The 19,569-nt window shown below is 45.5% G+C and overlaps 1 protein-coding gene across 2 annotated transcripts in view, besides 4 other annotated features; it reads left to right on the top strand.

Annotated features, from left to right (window-relative positions):
* Positions 3,526-3,595: an enhancer, noted in NCBI's record as "active region_9522". NCBI's record gives its function as "activates an Ori minimal core promoter by ATAC-STARR-seq in GM12878 lymphoblastoid cells {active_cell/tissue: GM12878}" and the evidence as "EXISTENCE:reporter gene assay evidence [ECO:0000049][PMID:35858748]".
* Positions 3,762-3,958: a silencer, noted in NCBI's record as "fragment chr15:62682405-62682601 (GRCh37/hg19 assembly coordinates)". NCBI's record gives its function as "represses an EF-1alpha promoter that drives an FKBP-Casp9 reporter gene in an ReSE screen in HepG2 liver carcinoma cells {active_cell/tissue: HepG2}" and the evidence as "EXISTENCE:reporter gene assay evidence [ECO:0000049][PMID:32094911]".
* Positions 4,006-4,335: a silencer, noted in NCBI's record as "silent region_6506". NCBI's record gives its function as "represses an Ori minimal core promoter by ATAC-STARR-seq in GM12878 lymphoblastoid cells {active_cell/tissue: GM12878}" and the evidence as "EXISTENCE:reporter gene assay evidence [ECO:0000049][PMID:35858748]".
* Positions 4,106-19,569, top strand: part of TLN2 (talin 2) — a 454,082-nt gene continuing 438,618 nt past the window's right edge. For both annotated transcript variants that reach the window (NM_015059.3, NM_001394547.1), the window contains exon 1: positions 4,106-4,241. The gene's annotated coding sequence lies outside the window, so the exon portion shown is untranslated. The remainder of the gene's footprint in view (positions 4,242-19,569) is intronic.
* Positions 4,514-5,128: an enhancer, noted in NCBI's record as "H3K27ac hESC enhancer chr15:62683157-62683771 (GRCh37/hg19 assembly coordinates)". NCBI's record gives its function as "activates a minimal SCP1, AML or CMV promoter by ChIP-STARR-seq in primed H9 embryonic stem cells {active_cell/tissue: H9 hESC(primed)}" and the evidence as "EXISTENCE:reporter gene assay evidence [ECO:0000049][PMID:30033119]".

Raw genomic sequence — 19,569 nt, forward strand, 5'->3', positions numbered from 1 at the left:
AACTTCTACCTCTCGAATTTAAGAGATTCTCCTGCCTCAGCCTCCCAAGTAGCTGGGATTAGAGGCATGTGCCAATGCACCCAGCTAATTTTTGCATTTTTAAAAATAGAGACGGGGTTTCCCTATGTTGGTGAAGCTGGTCTTGAACTCTTGATCTCACGTGATCCGCCTGCCTTGGCCTCCCAAAGTGCTGGGGTTACAGGTGTGAGCCACCGTGCCCAGCCTCTTTTTTTCTTAAAAAAAAAAAAAAAAAAAAAAAAGAGGTAAGGTCTTGTTATGTTGACCAGGCTGGTCTCGATCTCCTGGCCTCATGCAATCCTCCCATCTTGGCCTCTCAAAGTGCTAGGATTGCAAGCATGAGCCATCATGCTCAGCCCAATTTCCTCTTTTAAATAGGACATTTAAATCTGTATCTGTCATGCTATCCTGAATAGTTAGAAATGAAATGAGGTCCTATGCTTTGAGATAACTAAAAAGCTAAAATATATTAATTTTTGCAAAATGTCAAATATTTGCTTTTCAAATAAATTAAAAATAACTTATGAACTATATGCTGTACTACAACTCAGATAATATTTCCTCCTGTAATTTTTGGTTAATATACTCTCCTAAAACTTATCAGAAAAGAGGTAGAGAGATTTCTAGAAACCTAAAGATATCAAATTACAAAAGAAGCCTAAGTATCTTCTTTTCATCTCTGGTTCTGAATGATGGACAATTTTGAGAAAATGTGGTTCCTACCTACCTTGCTCTCAGGAAAGGATACAAACATTTTTGAAAGAGAGGAAATCATGAACTGTTGGTGTATTGTATCAAGGGAGCCCTTTAAAATATTTTATTATGGCACAAAATATTCTCTTATAAATAAAGTATAACAAAATATTTGGTGGAATTTCTTTTATTTTTTCAACATGGACACAGTTGAGTTTGCTCAGCTATGAAAGCTGAGCAAAGCCACCCCAGATACCTACAAGTGCTCAACAGGAATTCAGGAGGTTAAGGCTCAGTGCAATGGGAGGAGAGGGGCAATCTCTCAGCATCCAGCTCTTTAGCACCAAGCAATGTCTAATTTGGTAATTACAAATCTGACTTGTGAAGAAAATGGTTTTTCGTTCCAGATATATTTATTACAAGTGACTTGGAAGCTATCTCTTTGACTTACCTCCCCAAATGTTCCACTCTTTATTCATACAAAGTGTATTTATTTTGCTACTTAAGATCTGCTGGGCAGAAGTAAGAGGCTGTAAGGCTTGAGAAATTGCTTAGATGGAATGTTTTATCTCCCACCCTGTTTTCCTCTGCTGGGTAGAGACGAAGCCCCAAAATGTAATCTTGTTAAAAAAAGTTAGATTTTGTTTTTTTAGTTTTTTTTTGCTGGTCTACAATGAACTATGATCACTCTGAATAAAGACAGCGACTACTAGTAGCTGACTCTAAATTTAGAAATAACTTTTTTTAGGTCTAGGGAGGCATCTCAATTTCAGAAAAGTTAGTAAAGGTTACTGGTAAAATTGCTTTTACTTCTACTGGGGAAATTTTTGAAAAATATAATGCTAGGACGTAGAATGGTTAGTTGATTTCTCTAAAAAAACAGTAAATGGTTTTTAGAGCCCTAAGAGTGGTTAGAAAAACCAGGAGCTGTAAAATTAAGAAGTGTCCAAAGCCAATTGGTTTGAAGCTAGAACTAAAGCTGAGTTCTAAGGCTGATGTTCTTTCTCACTGGGGGAAAGAATTTAATTGACCTTGGAAAGCCACAGAATAGTGCTATCTGGCTTATTAATGCCCAAATATTCAGACACCTGCACCTCACCCTTGTGAATGCCTTAGGATTTAGCTGGAACTTTGAAAAGTAACTGAACCAAACCAAGGCTATAACTCTACAGGATCTCAGCATCCCAGAATTTTGCTGACACTCTAATAGAATAGATAACTTTTCAAATATCTCAGGAACTAGTAAGATAGGTAGTGAACAAATAAGGCTATTTTCATAAAGCAGATTTTTATTGAGTACTTATTAAATACTATGTGTCAGGCTCCTTCAGGCACAGAGATACAGATGAGGTTCTTGCTCTCATGGAATGTAGCTTCCATTACTGAATGGCATCCCGCTGATGGGTAGTGGAAAAGTGTGGGGATACTTTCAAGAGGATGCATTAAGTAATGGAAAATCTTGAAATCCAGGTGTCAGAAAGATTTTGAGATGCTTGATAGGAAGCTATTGGGCCCTATGAACGGAGGACTAAGTGGAAGGGGAAAATCACTTAAGTTGCAACCATTTTTTCCTTTCCTTCTTGATGAGCCTCTTATGTAAACCTGGCATTTGGACCATAAAAATATGGTTATTCTTTGTTAGTAAACCAAGGAACAATTTAGGTGGCATTAATTTAGTGAGCTTATTACCAGGCTCATACAGAAATCAATAAACATGTACTTTTTAATCAACCCCTGAGGTGGCTTGTTGCCACCACTAGTTATTCTGTGAGACTGGTGAATGTTTAAAAAGGCGTGGTGAACAAAAATACTTTACCTGTACAATGAGAAATTGTGCCCTGCAATTTTTAGGACTTTCTCAAGTTGCCAAGTAATTGGTTCTCTCACTGTGCATTGATAATGTATACTTTGTTAGCTTTACAGTTTATATTCTGCAATAAGTTACAAAGTTGTACCCTAAGGTTATCTTTGCTGCTATGATACATACAGTCCGGTTCATCAGCCTGGTTAAGGACAGGGTATTGTTCTCACAGAATGTCCAGCCTTATCCAATGTTCCAACGGACTTATTCAAAATAATTTCAATTTACAAAATCAATTCAGTCTCCGGTTTATGGTGACAGCAGTTTCTTTCTCTGAGAAACACTAAAAAGTTGCCAGCAGTTCCATTTGAGTAACTGAATAGATTTGCTACCTATTTCCTGGTCCATTCTGTATTGGGATGGAAATAATGTCGTCTTTCCTTTTTTTTTTCTTTTTTGAGACAGAGTCCCGCTCTGTCATCCAGGCTGGAGTGCAGTGGTAGGATCACCGCTCATGCAGCCCCCGAGCTCCCGGGCTCAAGCGATCCTCCCACCATTCTCCCCAGTAACTGGGACTACAGGCATGCGCCCCCACACCCGGCTGATTTTTAATTTTTTTTGTAGAGATAAGGTCTCGCTATATTGCCCAGGCCGATCTTAAACTCCTTGGGCTTGAGATCTTCCTGCTTTGGCCTCCCAAAGTACTAGGAGTAAAGGGGTCATGGCTAATTCTTGTTTTTTTAAATTACTAATGTGTCCCTTACAGATAAATAAAAAAGTAAAATTACTCACAATTCCACCAATCACTGAGAGACTTATTGGTGTTTATCTATCCAGTCTTTTCTGCCTTTCTCCATAAATCACAGTTTTTAAAAACGGGACCATACGGTACATAGTGTTTTGTCTCCTCACCCCCTTGAATAACCTTCACATTGTTCCATGGTATTTACAGTATTTACTAATAATGACTGTAAATGTAAGAGGTATATAACTGACTTTATTCAGGGCATGGCAAGCAGGAGTGAATTATTTTCTTCTTATCAACACAGCACGCCCCTACCGCCACTCATCCCTATAGTCGTTCTCTAAATACCTAAGTGACACCTGACCAGCAAGGTTTCAGGGTCCTTGTGCTGAAAGGAGCAGGCTCGCCTGGGGTCACGGCCCTCCGCTTCGCAGCAAGACCCCACCGCCCACCACGGCCCTCCAGTTAGCCACAGCTCGCTTCCCCCAGGACCGGGCCAGAGGTCCCGAGAGGGCACTCTGCGGACCTAGGGGCCCCAGCCTACAAGACGCTGTGTCCTGCAGTCATCCCCTTTACACAGCAGAGCCCCAATTCTGGGAAGCCGGGGTCACCCCGAGCCTCCCTTCCCCGTGACAGCTCGGCCGGTGCATCACCTTCCCTCGCGGACCCTTTCAGCATCACCACGCGTGGGAGGAAACCCAGGACGGGCGCCTGAGCCTCGGTGGCGGCCCACCCCGGTGCCGCGCGGCGCCGCGGCCGGACCGGCGCCGCGCCGTCCCCGAATGATGACGCGCTTCCTGCCCTCCCAGCGCTCTCGGGCAGTGCGCTCGCGCTCGCCCTCGGCTCTTGTTCCGCGCCCGGAGCCAGCGGCGGCGGCAGCGGCTGAGGCGGCTGCGGGAGCGGAGTGGTCGCCCAGCGCGCGGGGGGACGCGGGCTGCACTCCCGGGCAGGCGCTCTGCAATGAGACAGTAAATGCATCCCCCGGTAAGGCGCACGGCTCACTCGGGTTTTCCTCTTCCTCCAGCTGCATGCACGTTGCATGAATTTCTCGTGTCTTTTCCCTCCCCTCTCCAGAAGGAAAATGTGGGGTTTTTTTTCCTCCCTTTTGCTTCTCGTGAGTGATGCCAATGCAGGAAAAACCCGTAAAGCTCCCAGATTTGATGGTCTAGGAGGGCTTCTTGCAGGAAAATAAAAATAAAATGAAATTAATGCACCTGTCTATTGCACATGTATGTTTCACTGCACCGGACCCGGGCGCAGCGGTTTGCAAACAGCCTCGCAGTCGGCGCCAGAGAGCGGATTCCTGGCCGTGGGCAGCCGGTCCCCTCCGGGGCTCTCGCTGGGTTTCCGGTAACTGGGCTTTGAAAAGCGGCCCCGCCTGCATAGAGTGTCCCCTCGACCCCAGCCGGGCCCCCGCGCCAGAAGAGTTGGCGCTGGAGGAGCAGCTTCATTCCAGCACTGGCCGCCGGGACTCCAGCGCCACTTTGCAAACAAGTCTCCCGCCGAGGCTCTGGGCTAAGACAGCCCGCCAGTGCGGAGTTCCTTCTCCGGTGCCGGACACTCAGACCTGCCGATCCCACGACTGCCCTTTACTTGGCAATCTCGCCACGGGCGAACTGCTGGCCGCTGAGCGACGGGGGCAGTGCCGGGCCGAGAGCGGGGCCAGGCTTTGCATCCAGTGCGGCTGGCCTCACACAGACTCAGCGGCTCCCTCTCCTTCCTCGGTCCCACGAGCTGAAATTTTGCGCCCATTGGAAGCTGGAGGGACCTGGAGACGAGTATTTCGGGATCCCTGAGGGGACCGAGGAACGACTTTCGAGGGCGCCATATTTTCAGTGGGTCTTGACTGCGGAGGGGAGGGGGCGAGCAGTTTCTGGGTCCCGGGGAGAGCCCCGCGCCCCAGTCGGAGAGGCCTGATCGGTTGTCGCCGGGAAAGTTTGCGCGCCGAGGCAGGCGCGGAGGCGGCCGCACAAGGCGCGCACGACTGCTGTCCCCGCAAGGGCGCGCGGACTACAGCGCGTCGCCACGCCAGCCGGCGGGGCTTGGGAACGAGAGCCGCCGTCACGGACAGCGTGCTGGGCTTGCCGCCTTCCTCTGTCCCGCCTGGACCCGGCCTTGGGGCTCCGAGGCTCAGGGAACACGCCCCTCTTCCCCGCAGCTACCGCTGCCCGGGTGCTCAGCCGGAGCCGTGCGCTGGGCGGCGTCCCGGGGCTGGGCGCCGAGTGTAGAGCGTTCTCCCGGTGCCCGGGCTCGCCTGGGTGCTCCGAGGGGCGCAGTAGCTCACTTCCTGGGGGAGAGGAGGCGCCTTGGTTCGTGGATCAGGACCAGGGCCTGGCCTGTGGTCGCCCCGAGGCCGCCGAACAGCCTGAGCTTCCAGTCGCCTCTTTGGCTTTAGCGGCGACAGCAGTAGCGCCCGCGGCTGCGTGTTCTGCTCTCGCAGCTCGTAGAGGCGAGGAAAGGAGGGCGTTTCCAGAAGTTGGGGCTTCAGGTGACGCGTGGGGAAACTTGGATTCTTGCTGTCCTTGAAGAGCTGGGACAACTTAGGCCAGAATTCCTGTGTCTCATAGTGAAAACTTCTGGTTCTTTCCAGAAGATGAGAGAGGAATGAACTGAAGTGTTGGCGTTGTCAAAGACATAATTAAAGACGGTTGGGTAGGGATGATGTCTTGGAGAAGTGGTCCCCAAAATACACGTAAATTGCCCTGGTGCTGTAAGTACCACTTACTTTTCCATTAATAATACCTGGGTGTGTTAAGCTGTGGCATTGTAAGGTTGCACGCTGACCTCCCTTCTCCAGAGCTTGGAGGCAGCGACCTCTCTGGAGTGAGGGGGAAGCGGGAGTGGGGAATCTTTACTTTTGAAGTAGACTGTGACCTCTGCTTTGTGATGGGACAGGGCACGGGCGTGTTTGCCAACCTACAGGCAGCCAATTGCAGGAACGTGTTCTCCTTGGAGTGTTACCGAAATGATGTCATAGTATTGAGGTTTTGTCGGCACTTCCGGTCTTCTTCACTGAAGAGGCTAGAAGGGACCACAGAAACCTCTGGGGTTGGGGGTTAGGTGTGCAGAGGGAGGGGAGAGGCTTTCCTGTGGGAGATGTGCCTGGAGATGTTAGGTGTTAGGCAGCTCTTTCCCTGATTCATTTCATGAAGCGCCTGCAAAAGTGACTCCGATATGAATGTCAGCCAAGATTTTACCTACCTTGATTGCTTATTTGGGACCTCTATGCAAAATCAGAGGATGGCGGTGGGTGTGACAAGTGGTCTTGAGAGAAGAGGGATGCCTACACGAATGCCTTTTTTTTTTCATTGAGCACTAGAATAGTGGAAAACACCCAGAGCCCAAGATATATTTTTCCAAAATTAGCATAGCTAATTTAGAAGAGAAATCAGTTGCAGAAAGCCTCAATCCGTTTTAAGTTTCCAGTCTTAGAGGGAGCACCTTAATCACAGAAACAGGTCTCTTCATATTGGGGAAGCCACTGGTTTCTCTCTGCCTTTGTAACCATTTAAGTTATCAGGGAGATTCCAAAGAGTATTAGAGGGTCTCTCTTTTTGGCATTGATGTGGAGCTTCTACCTCGAAAGAGAAAGCGAACTTTTAACAACTTGACCCTGTTGAATGAGTTACTAGGGATATTCTGTACAGGCATAGGCTATATATGTGTTTTGAACTCATCTACTGCTGACTCATTCAGGTTTTTCCAAACACTGTTCCCTAGAGTATTTTTAAGTGAAATTAGGGTTTAGGAAGAGGTGAGTATGTTATTTTCTAGTCAATATCTGTCTTTTCTCTCTCAAAATTAACCTGATTTCCCCTCCTTCACCCCTCACTCCCAGAACATCGTTAGTTCTCTAGAGCAGTAAAGGACGATTACAGGTGGTGAATGATATAAATTTTTACCAACTATGCTCAGAAAAAAACTATGCATCTAAATAGGTATTTATGCATTTTAGCGTTATGCTTTGTAACTATGTATATGCCACATATATTTTATACATGTTAAACCTTACATAATAAAAAAGAGAAGCTTTATTGCAAACCCTCCAATCTTTATTCCCAAGTTTACTACCTTAATATTTATCTTTTTTTTAATGCCTCTCTCAACAAATTGTTATACATCGTGCTTTGTTGCCTCTTGCCTGATTCTTTTTTTTTTTTTTTCCGAGATGGAGTCTTGCTCTGTCACCTCAGCCTTCCAAGTAGCTGGGACTGCAGGCACGCACCACCATGCCCAGCTAATTTTTGTATTTTTAGTAGAGACAGGGTTTCACCATGTTGGCCAGGCTGGTCTCGAACTCCTGACCTCAGGTGATCCACCCGCCTCGGCCTCCCAGAGTGCTGGGATTACAGGCATGAGACACCGCACCTGGCCAACCTGATTCTTAATCATCATAACTTCATGGCTTGACCAAAATTCTTGCATTTTTTTCCTTTTAAGATTTTGTAACTTCAAAAGGTTAGAAAACGAGTATGTGTTTTGGAAAGTTGCCTGTCTGTTTACCAGTCTGTGTAGTGGTGTTGTGATGTGTGTGTGGCATGTCCAGACTCTTGAGACAGTTTCTACAACTTGTGATCTGTGACATTATTGCTCCAGAACTTTTGAGTCATAATGTTTTCCTGATGATTTTGAGTGGTCGTTGGCCAGTACAGGAAGTACTCAAAAAGAGCTAAATAATTCAGTTATTTTTATTAGGTACAAAAATTTTAAAGACAAGAAGGAAAACATAATAAGCAGGCCTGGAATTACAGCTTAACATACCCACTGGTGCCTTTTTAATTACAGTACTTTCCCCAGAACTTTTTAATCGTATTACTTTTATATCTAATAAGGAGACTAGTTAAAACATAAGCCACACATAACTATTACAAATAATAGGGATAAATGGTGGGTATGACCAGATGTTTTGCCTAAAGTTCAAAGAGTTAGGGAATGTGAACTCTGTCAAATTTCCCCTGCAGGGCCCACACCCCCTCCTCAATAACCTGGAGAAAGGCAAAGAAGTCAGGGTGGAGGAGGGGAAGATAACATGCTTAAGGTAGACCTCTCTTGTGTGTTGACCACCCTGACAATCTTTGGCTTGGGGCAGGTGCCATTTGAATAACAGCTGGTGGACAAGGTTGGGTACAAAATGCTTTAGTTGTGAGAGTCTTTATATGTCACCCAGAGCTATGAATTAGGACTGGGCTCATTTGCCACCCATTTCACAGTGGAGTTTCAGAGACGGTGCCAAGACCATGGTTTTGTTTTTCTCTTAATCAACAATTTAATTTCAGTCAAACTGATGCTGTTCTGAAAATGTAGAACAAGGAATGAACATTTGTATTTTCTTTTTACTCTTTTAGCTGCAGTTTTAACAAACTTAATTCCCTACGTCTGTTATTCACTCATTCAGTGTATGTTTTTGAGGGTTTACCATGTACTTTATGCTGAGAAGACATCCCCTGCCCTCACAATGCCCACACATTGTGTTCCGAGGAGGTGATACTCTTTTGTACTTTGTGTATCTAGTAGCCAGGGCGGGGGTGGGGTAGAGGGTGGGGAGATGAGAATGTGATGAAATAGTAACTGAAATACAACATTATAAAAAGATGAGAAAAGGATGTGAGCAGGCAGTTCCCAGAACAAGGGATGCAAATTATTGTGTCTCTTCTCACCTTCTCTAGTGGACAGAGAAATACAAATTTAAAAACAGATATTATTTCCTGTCCATACAATTGATACATCTTTTAAAAGGTTGGTAATACTCTCTGCTCGATGGGGCAGGGTGGGAATTCTCAGACCATTGATATAAGTGTGAATTGCTACAACCTTTTGGAAAAGCAGATCATTTCTGTGAAAGTTTGGAGCACACGTGCCATGTGAGCCAGCAATCCCACATTTGCAGCCTTGTTTTACATTAGGAAAAACATTGACATGTAAGAATCTGTGTGTAAGGGTGTCTGTTGTAGGATTTTTTTCAGTAAATAAACCAGAAGCAACAAATGTTCATCAGTAAAATGAATAAAATAAGGTACATCCATAGTATGGATTATTTTGTGAGGGTAGTGCATAACATAATTAAAAATAATACATAAAATAAAAGCTAGTTGCAGAGTATCATATGTATGTTGCATGACCGTATTTCTGATTTTTTATTTTTATTTTTATTTTTTTGAGATGGTGTCTCAGTCGCACAGACTGGACTGCAGTGGCTTGATGTGGGCTCACTGCAACCTCTGTCTCCTGGGTTCAAGTGATTCTCCTGCCTAGGCTTCCCGAGTAGCTGGAATTACAGGCACCCGCCACCACACCTGGCTAATTTTTGTGTTTTTAGTAGAGACAGATTTCACCATGTTGGCCAGGCTGGTCTCGAACTTCTGACCCAAGTGATCCACCCGCCTTGGCCTCCCAAAGTGCTATGATTACAGGCATGAGCCACTGTGCCTGGCCTTATTTCTGATTTTAAAAAAGAAGCCCTATGTGTATGACCTTGGAGAAAGATGTGTAAGGACACCCAAAACTTAAATATTGTTTAAGATTAGCAGTGAGGAGGGAGAGGTAATTAACTTTCTCCATGTACGCTTCAGTTGGTTGACTTGTTCAAACACGCAGGCTTTTCTATATGAAAACAAGTTAAAAAATATTTGGTTAATGGATAAGAAACTCACCAGCAACCATTTAGAAAAAAAGACTGGGAAGTATCACGCTTACTTTCTCTGATGCCTCTCATTGTAATCTCTTATCTCTTTGGAAATTTTCAATTAATTATTTTCTAAAATCTTTGATTTCTCAACTTTTAGTAGAGTATACCTTCAGTGTAAAGGATAGCTTTGATTTCTCAACTTTTAGTAGATTATACCTTCAGTGTAAAGGATAGCTTCAGAAAAACTGTTTCCCTCTGCCCCAGGAGGTGGTGAAAGTAAGAGCTCAGGAAAGCTCTTACAAGCACTCTCCTTTATCTTAACTTTCTCTGATCCCATACTGAAGGAAGACCAACAGTGCAGGGAGAGCTTCTGGCCAATTGAGAAGGCTTTCTTTTTTTTTTTTTACTTTTAGACAGGGTCTAGCTGGAGTGCAGTGGCATGATCTTGGCTCACTGCAACCTCCACCTCCTGGGTTGAAGCAATTCTCATGCCTCAGCCTCTCAAGTAGCTGGGATTAAGGGCATGCGCCACCACTCCCAGCTAATTTTTGTGTTTTTAGTAGAGATGGGGTTTCACCATGTTGGCCAGGCTGGTCTGGAACTCTTGGGCTCAGGCAGTCCACCTTCCTCGGCCTCTCAAAATGCTGGAATTACAGGCATGAGCCACGGTGCCTGGCCTGAGAAGCCTTTCTAGATAGCAGCAGCATCTCCTCAAACTTGGTTTTCCTAATTGAGGCCCAGAGAGGGCTGGGTTGGTGTTTGAATCCAAGTCTCTTTCCATACGATCTCTGGCTTAGCTGGCTGTTCCACCTCTACCATTTTCAACCCAGCCTCCTAATGTGATTTTTGAAATCTTGATAGAATGATGAGTTTTTGCCAGTTGCAGCTAAAGCCAGCCTTTCAAAAGCATTTCACATTTTATTTTTATTTTTTATCTGAATAATATTTTTAGAGACAGGGTCTCTCTGATGCCCAGGCTGGAGTGCAGTTGTACAATCACACCTCACTACAGCCTCAAACTCCCGGGCTCAAGTGATCCTCCTGCCTCGGCCTCCTGTGAAACTGTGGCTACAGGAACTTGCCACCATACCTGGCTAATTTGTATTTGATATTTTTTTGTAGAGACCATGTCTCACTGTGTTGCCCAGAGTGGTCTCGAACTCCTGACCTCAAGTGATCCTCCCACCTTGACCTCCCAAAGCACTGGGATTACAGGTGTGAGCCACCACACCCTGCTCTACATTGAAAAAAGTACATACTGTGTGACTCTCTGAATCCTGATGGGAGATCCAGAATCTCAACCCACTGGAAACCAGGGCTGTGCTGCACAATCTGAAAACCATGCTTGAGATTACATCAGTGGTTCCCAAACTAAAATGCATGGAAATCACCTGCAGGGCTTGTTAAACCCCAGATTATTGGGCCTGAGTTTCAGATTCCTTTGGTCCTTGGTGGGGTTTGATTTGCATTATTAACAAGTTTCCAGAAGAGTCTTATCCTGTGGATCACCCAGAGAGGGCTGGGCTGGTGTTTGAACCCAGGTTTCTTTCCATCCAATCCCTGGCTTAGATGGCTGTTATGCTTCTACCATTTTCAACCCAGACTCTTAATGTGATTTTTGTAATCTTGATAGAACTGATGAGTTCTATGGAGAACCACTGGTTTAGAGGAACTAGCTACCTCTCTTCCATGGGTCTTGTGCTCTTTTCCAGCCAGCCGTGTTATGGATGTGATATGGTTTGGCTGTGTACCCATGCAGAATCTCATCTTGAACTGTAGTTGCCATAATCCCCACGTGTCGTGGGAGGGACCTGGTGGGAAGTTATTGAACCATGGGGGTGCTATACTCATGCTATTCTCATGATAGTGAGTGAGATCTCACGAGATCTGATGGTTTCATAAGGGCCTTTTACCCCTTTGCTTGGCACTTCTCTCTCCTGCCGTCATGTGAAGAAGGATGTGTTTGCTTTCCCTTCCACCATGTTTGTAAGTTTCCTGAGGCCCCCCAACTGCCCCCTGCCCCAGCCATGCTGAATTGTGACTCAATTAAACCTGTTTCCTTTATAAATTACCCAGTCTTGGGTATGGGTAATAGAGTAAATTGGTACCGCAGAGAGTGGGGTGCTGCTATAAAGATACCTAAAAATGTGGAAGTGACATTGGAACAGTTTGGAGGGCTCAGAAGAAGACAGGAAGATGTGGGAAAGTTTGGAACTTCCCAGAGACTTGTTGAATGGTTTTGATCAAAATGCTGATAGTGATATGGACAATAAATTCTAGGCTGAGGTGGTTTCAGATGGAGATGAGGAACTTCTTGGGAACTGGAGCCAAGGTGACTCTTGCTATGCTTCAGCAAAGAGACTGGTGGCTTTTTGCCCATGCCCTAGAGATCTGTGGAACTTTGAATTTGAGAGAGATGATTTAGGGTATCTGGGGGAAGAAATTTCTAAGCAGCAGAGCATTTAGGAGGTGACAGAGCATAAAAGTTTAGAAGATTTGTAGCCTGACGCAGTAGAAAAGAAAAACTCATTTTCTGGGGAGAATTTCAAGCCAGCTGCAGAAATTTGCATAAGTAACCAGAGACCTTTGCGGCAGCCCCTCCCATCTCAGGCCCGGAGGCCTAGGAGGGAAAAATGGTTTCGTGGGCTGGGTCCAGGGCCCCCTGCTGTGTGCAGCCTTGGGACTTGGTGCTCTGCATCCCAGCCGCTCCAGCAGTGGCTACAAGGGGCCAAAGTACAGCTTAGGCCATTGCTTCGTAGGATGCAAGCCCCAAGCCGTGGCAGCTTCCAGTTGATGTTGGTCCTGCAGGCGTGCAGAAGACAAGAATTGAGGTTTGGGAACCTCTGCCTAGATTTCGGAGGCTGTATAGAAATGCCTGGATGCGCCACTGCACTCTAGCCTGGGTGACAGAGCGAGACTCCGTCTCAAACAAAAAAAAAAAAAAAAAAAAAAAAAAAAAGTAAGAAATGCTTGGATGTCCAGGGAGAAGTTTGCTGCAGGAGCGGAGCCCTCATGGAGAACCTCTGCTAGGGCAGTGCAGAAGGAAAATGTGGGGTCGGAACCCCCACACAGAGTCCCCATTGGGGCACTGCCTAATGAAGCTCTGAGAAGAGGGCCACCATCCTCACACCCCAGAATAGTAGATCCACCAACAGCTTGCACCACATACCTGGAAAAGCTGCAGACACTCAACACTAGCCTGTGAATCAGCTGAGAGGGAGGGTGTACACTGCAAAGCCACAGGGGCGAAGCTGTCCAAGGTCATGGGAACCCACCTCTTGCATCAGTGTAATGTGGATGTGAGACATGGAGTCAAAGGAGAGCATTTTGGAACTTTAAGGTTAAATGACTACCCTATTGGATTTTGGACTTGCATGGGGCCTGGAGCCCCTTTATTTTGGCCAATTTCTCCTATTTGGAATGAGTGTATTTAGGCAATTCCTGTACCACCTTTGTATCTAGGAAGTAACTAACTTGCTTTTGATTTTACAGGCTTATAGGTGAAAGGGACTTGCCTTGTCTCAGATTAGACTTTGGACCTGGACTTTTGGGTTCATCCTGCAATGAACTAAGACTTAGGGGGACTGTTGGAAAGGCATGATTATGTTTTGAAATGTGAGGACATGAGATTTGGGAGGGGGCAGGGGTGGAATGATATGGTTTGGCTGTGTCCTCACGCAAAAATCTCATCTTGTAGTTCCCATAATCCCCACAGCAGTGGGAGGTTATTGAATTATGGGGGCGGTTACCGCCATGCTGTTCTTCTGATAGTAAGTGAGATCTCACGAGATCTGATGGTTTTATGAGGGGCTTTTCCCCCTTTGCCTGGCAGTTCTCTCTCCTGCCGCCATGTGAAGAAGGACATGTTTGCTTCCCCTTCTGCCATTATTGTAAGTTTCCTCAGACCTCCCCACCATGCTGAACTGTGACTCAATATACCTGTTTCCTTTATCAATTACCCAGTCTTGGATATGTCCTTATAGTAGTGTGAGAATGGATTAATACAGGTGAAAGTTAGAATCTCAGTCAAGGGACATTTAATGCAATTCTGCCAATTTCCCCAAGCTGGGAAAAATTAATATTTGAGTCATGTTACTTAATTCTTGTCTGAATTTGTTGTAGATATTTGGGGATTTAATGATGTTTTATAGATAGATATATGTTTCATCAGCAGTGAAAGTGAGAATTCATGGGTATCATTTTAAATAGTCTATAATGAATTCTCTTGGGAAAGAGGAGATTCTGATTCCTGGTTTTTTTCATGTCATACATGCATATTCAAGATTTTATGTCATTGATTTCTTTTAATAAAATGTTGGCTACATGTGAAGGGCATTGAGAATAATATGGTGACCAGATGATAAATGTGGCATAAATTGTGTCACAATCTGATCATTCATGCATTTTTTTGGAGGAAATTAAGCGCAGTAGCCATTAATTTCAACAAATGTTTATTTCAGTGTCAGCAAAGGGGTTATGTTTCCGGTTTTTTTTTTTTTTTTTTTTTGAAGTAGGGTCTCACTCTGTCACCCAGGCTGGAGTGCAGTGGTGCAATCTGGGCTCACTGCAGCCTCTGCTTCCTGGGTTCAAGCCGTTGTCCTGCCTTAGCCACCCAAGTAGCTAGGATTACAGCCATGTACCACCATGCTTGGCTAATTTTTCTATTTTTAGCAGAGACAGGGTTTCACCGTGTTGCCCAGGCTGGTCTCAAACTCCTGAGCTCAAGTGATCTGCCTTCCTCGGCCTTCCAAAGGGGTTTTGTTTCTAATGATGCTTATCAGTGACACATAAGTGTTTGGCTGTCCTCTGGGACCCTCGCTTGTCTGGATGTCCTTGAGAGATTTGGATGAACCAAAGCTCAAGCAGAGTATTCCCTAAAAAGCTTTCCTTCTCACTGATCTCCTAGTTCTAAAATTTTTTAGCAGGTGAACGTTTATTCTGTTTTCAGCCACTTAGTTTTAATTTGTTTTGTTTATTTTTAGAGACAGGGTCTCGCTCTATCACCCAGGCTGGAGTGCCAGCCACTTAGTTTTAGAGCCTTGAATGTTTTTCTAGTGATTTCCTAGGTCAGCTCTAAGTAAAGCAGAATTGGTAGTGATAGTGGAGTGCAGGAAACAAAGAGACCTGGAAGGGAAATTGTCATGAAGGAGGTCATGTTTAAGTGGCGCTTTGCAGGATGGGTTTCTTCTGCACTGTTCCTGGACCTAGCTGCACATTGGAATCACCTGGAGGTTCTGATGTAGTTGGTTTGGGATGGGGCCTGGGCATTGGTGGGTAAGTTCTCCATGTGATTCTAATGTGCAGCCAGGGTAGAGGACCACTCGTCTACAGTCCTCTGAGTCACCTTGCCTCATTCTTTGGAGATTTTAGCATCTGGCCCACAGTCCCTCCTCCCATCAATATTTTTGGTGACTTGAACATCTATATAGGTTGTCCACCCAATTCTCAACCTCTTAGTCCCTTGACCAACTCTCTTTCAGTTATCTTTTCCTCTACCCTGCTTCAGCCATCGCTCACATGGTTATCTCTAGACCACTGATTCTAGACAAGGAGGATATTTGGCAATGTCTAGAGACTTCTTTTGGCACAACTTTGGAGGAAGAAGAGATGCTATTGACATTCTAGTGAGGCTACTGAACACCCTGCAATGCACAGGACAGCCCCACACAACAAAGAATTATGCCATCCAAAATGTCAGTAGTCCCAGGGTCAAGAACCCTTGCTCTAGTGTCTTTGAAGTGTTTTTTAACCCCAAGCCATAGGAGAAATATAGCTTATGTGATGACCCAATACAAACACACAGAAGTTTCACAAAACAGTATTTACTCTTACTGGGTATAATGTACTTTCATGCTTTTTATTGTTTCATTAAAACAATAAGATGCTGTTTCTGACCCACTAAACTGATTTCACTGCCTACTAAACTTGCACCCCATTATTTGAAAAATGTGGTTGTAGACCTAATCATTACTGATAACCGCACCTCCAGCAAAATCTGGACAAACTCACCAGTCTGACCGTCCCCTTTTCTCTTTTGTCTTATTGCCTCTAGTACTTGGTTCCACCTAGCTTTCACCTACAAGGGCTTCTGACCTGGTGGCCCTTTCTTTTTCATTGTCCATCATCCCTTTCTTGTCCTCCTTACCCAGCTCAGATTCTTGCATATACCCTCAACTACCTTGACCTTTCCCCGCTTTGTCTTACTGTCCTCGGAAAGAAAACCCCATCCTTGGTTAAGCCCACCCTCTGCTCACTCTCCTTCAGCTTCAGGCTGATGATCCTGCCTAGAGAAAACACATATCTCTCTGCATTGTCTTGCTTTTAATTTATGGCCACAAACCTCAAGGGGACTCTTGACACTTTCAGGTCCACTATGTTTCTATACCCACTTCTCAGCTGATGACCTGGCTTATTTCACTGAGAGAAGAAGCAATTAGAAGCTACTTTCATCATCTTCCTATACTAAACTTACTAACCTACCAGCACACACGTGTGAATGAGATCCTGTCCTCTCTTGGCTTTCATACATGCAGCTATCTCCTTTCCCTTTTGCATCATCAGTTTCTCACTCTGATGGATAGTCCCCATCAGAAACATGCAGTAGTACCTGTCATCTAAAGGAAAAAAACAGCAGGCTGGGTGTGGTCCCTCACGCGTAATCCCAGCACTTTGGGAGGCTGAGGTGGGCGGATCACGAGGTCTGGAGTTGGAGACCAGCTTGACCAACATGGTGAAACCCCGTCTCTACTAAAAACACAAAAATTGGCTGGGCATGGTGGCGTGTGCCTGTAGTCCCAGCTACTCGGGAGGCTGAGACAGGAGAATTGCTTGAATCCAGGAGGCAGAGGTTGCAGTGAGCCGAGATCGTGTGACAAAGCGAGACTCCATCTCAAAAAAAAAAAAGAGAGGAAAAAAAAAAACAGCAGGAAGAAAATACTCTTGACCCTGTGTCCTAGTCTGCTGTTCTTCCATTCCTCTACATGCCCTTCATAGTAAAAATATTTGAAAGAACTGTCATACTCACTGACACCATTTCCTGCTCTCTCATTGTTTCTTGAACTCACTCCAATCTGGCTTTTTGCCAATTTTTGTTTTTTTGTTTTGCCACGTTGCCCAGGCTGGTTTCAAACTCCTGGGTTCAAGTGATCCGCCTGCCTTGGCCTCCCGAAGTGTTGGGATTACAGGCATGAGCCACTGTGCCCCTCCCAGAACCACACTTATTAAGGTAGTGGCAATACCCATGTGGTACAATCCAGTGGCTAACTCTTTAGTTGTCATCTTCTACAGGCTCTCCTCAGCATTTGGCCAGGTCATTGCTTTCTCTTTGGAACCCTTCCACTGGCTTCCATGTCACAATCTGGTTCTCCTACCCCCGGCTTCTCCAGCTCCATGCTTCTTGCTGGATGTTTCTTCCTGGCTTAAAGTTGGGGGCGCTCTCTCACCTTTCTCTTCATTAGGAATCTCTCCAGGATCACCTCTTATGAGGTCACGCCGGCATCCCCTGGCCCCTGTTCTCAAGCTTCTTCCTTATTTTTCTATCATTTACTATTCCCTGATATTACATACAGGACTCACTTATTGTCTATCTCACTGCATCTAGAATATAAGCTCCAGAAGAGAAATCATCTCTGCCGCTGTATCCCCAAGTGCCTGCAAGAATGCCTGGCACATGATAGGTACTCGACAAAAAATTCTTAATGATTGATGAAGGAAACTTGCTGGTTAGAGGTTAGCCTTGGATGAGGGAATGGAAGTCTTTTCCAGACTTGAGCTAAGGAAGAGCATAATGTTGAAGTGGAAACCAGTGTCTCATGGTGCAGTATTTTTAGGTCATGTGTTGAGAGTTAGGGGTTCAAGTATTGAATGAAGAAAGCACATCCTTATTAAATACTTGTTGAGTGGTAGAAGGCACCTGCAGAGGACAGCTGGATGGAGACAAATGGTTGCAGTTCTCATCTTTATCTCTGAAGGGGGTACTTAAGCAGTCTACTTGGCAACTTTTGTCTCTGGGTTGAAGATGATAAATGGACTTGTCTGAAGTGTTTATCATGGACCTTAATGTTCTGGTGACTTGTTTTGGTGAATCACTCATCCCCAGAGTCCACTTCTTCACAGGGGGAGATGTCTCCTTCTTCTCCTAAGCATTTGAGCTCATTGGGGAGTTCAGTGGGCCCTCTCTGCGCTGCTTTCAGACACCCAGGTTAAAAGATCCCCAAAGCATTCTCGTCCTGTGTTTAAATTAAATCTCCTCTTCTTTCTTCATTTGCATTGCTTCAATATAGTCCATTTAATTACTTGGCACCGCACCTAGGTCCTAGTTTCATATAAATGAGGCTATTTCCCAAGTGTAGCCCGAGGTCATGCATGCTGGATCTTCCAAGGGGGGCGTGGATTATTCCTGGGTTTGGGAGATTACATGGAGAGTACTTTAAGAGGCTTAATTTTCTCCTTGAAGGGCTCTCTACTGGACTCAACACCTGTCACTCCTAGGCTCTCCCTGATGGAGTTAAAGGAGCTTGCCCTGTGGGTAAAACATCAGCCAAGGGCAGCCTGAGGCACAGCCACAAAGCAGTTAGGTTTGGTACACTCAAGAAGACAGGACGTTTAGTACACCCAGGAAGACAGGGCAGATGTCTGTGTGGGAAAACTCAGTGACTCGAGGGAAGTTTACTTTTATTGTCAGTATTTATTTTATTTTAAAGAAAGGTGGTTGGAATGGCTGTAGGTGGGTGTCTCCCTTTGATAGGGAAAGAACTGAGGCTCAGAGGGGTGTGACGCTTGACAAAGCTGGCACCAGAACCCTGCTTCCTCCTTTTCTTGGGATGTGCTGTTGGAACCTGTCTGTAATTCAGGGTTGCGGTTCTTAGCCCTGGGTACGCTTCAGAATCTCTAGGGAAGCTTATTAAAACTGCTAGTTCCGAAACCCCACCTGACTCACTAAACTGAATCGGGAGCCCTAGGGAGGATCCTAGGAGGGTTTCCTATAGAGGGTGAAGGCAGCCAGGGGACTGGGGACAGGCACCCTGCAGGGCAGATGCCTGCTGGCCATGTACACTTGACAGACCCAACTCCTTTCTGAGACACAACACCCATCTCAACTGACTGTGTCGCAGTTTGCTCCTCACTCCTGCACCGCTTCTGGTTTCTAAGACCCTGTAGGGCTCCATTTAAAATGCATACAGAAAGGGCTTTTTATTTTCTTTGGGGTAATTTAATTTTCTGGCATTTTCCCAATGTGTTTTGTCCTACTTAGGTGAGAATGAAAGCTGCATTTAGTGTGAGGAAGTCACCTCTCTGAGGGCTTTTATGAGTCCTCTTGATTAGGGTCCCTAGGTGAGGCTGAGACTGGCTCTGGGGTGGGGTTTGGGTTTAACCAGCTCTTGGAGAAGCTGGTGGGGAACCAGAAGCTGGCCTGAGTGCTGCTCTGACAGAAGGAGTAGAAGGGTACAAGCTGGCTGCGCAGGGATGGATTTTAACAGTAATAAAGGATGGTAAATTGTTGGCTGGTTTTTGCTGGTGAACCTGTCACATGTTTGAGTGCCCCGATCTTGTGACAGTAGCTATAGGCTGGAGACAGCCCAATGGAGCCTGCAGCAATGCCTTGTCGGGCTGAGCTGGCTCTTTGATGAACCTCAGAAGTTGTTTAGATGGAGCTTTATGAATGTGCCTGGTGAAGGGCCTAGAGTA

Source organism: Homo sapiens, chromosome 15 (assembly GCF_000001405.40).
Source record: "Homo sapiens chromosome 15, GRCh38.p14 Primary Assembly".
Taxonomy (NCBI): domain Eukaryota; kingdom Metazoa; phylum Chordata; class Mammalia; order Primates; family Hominidae; genus Homo; species Homo sapiens.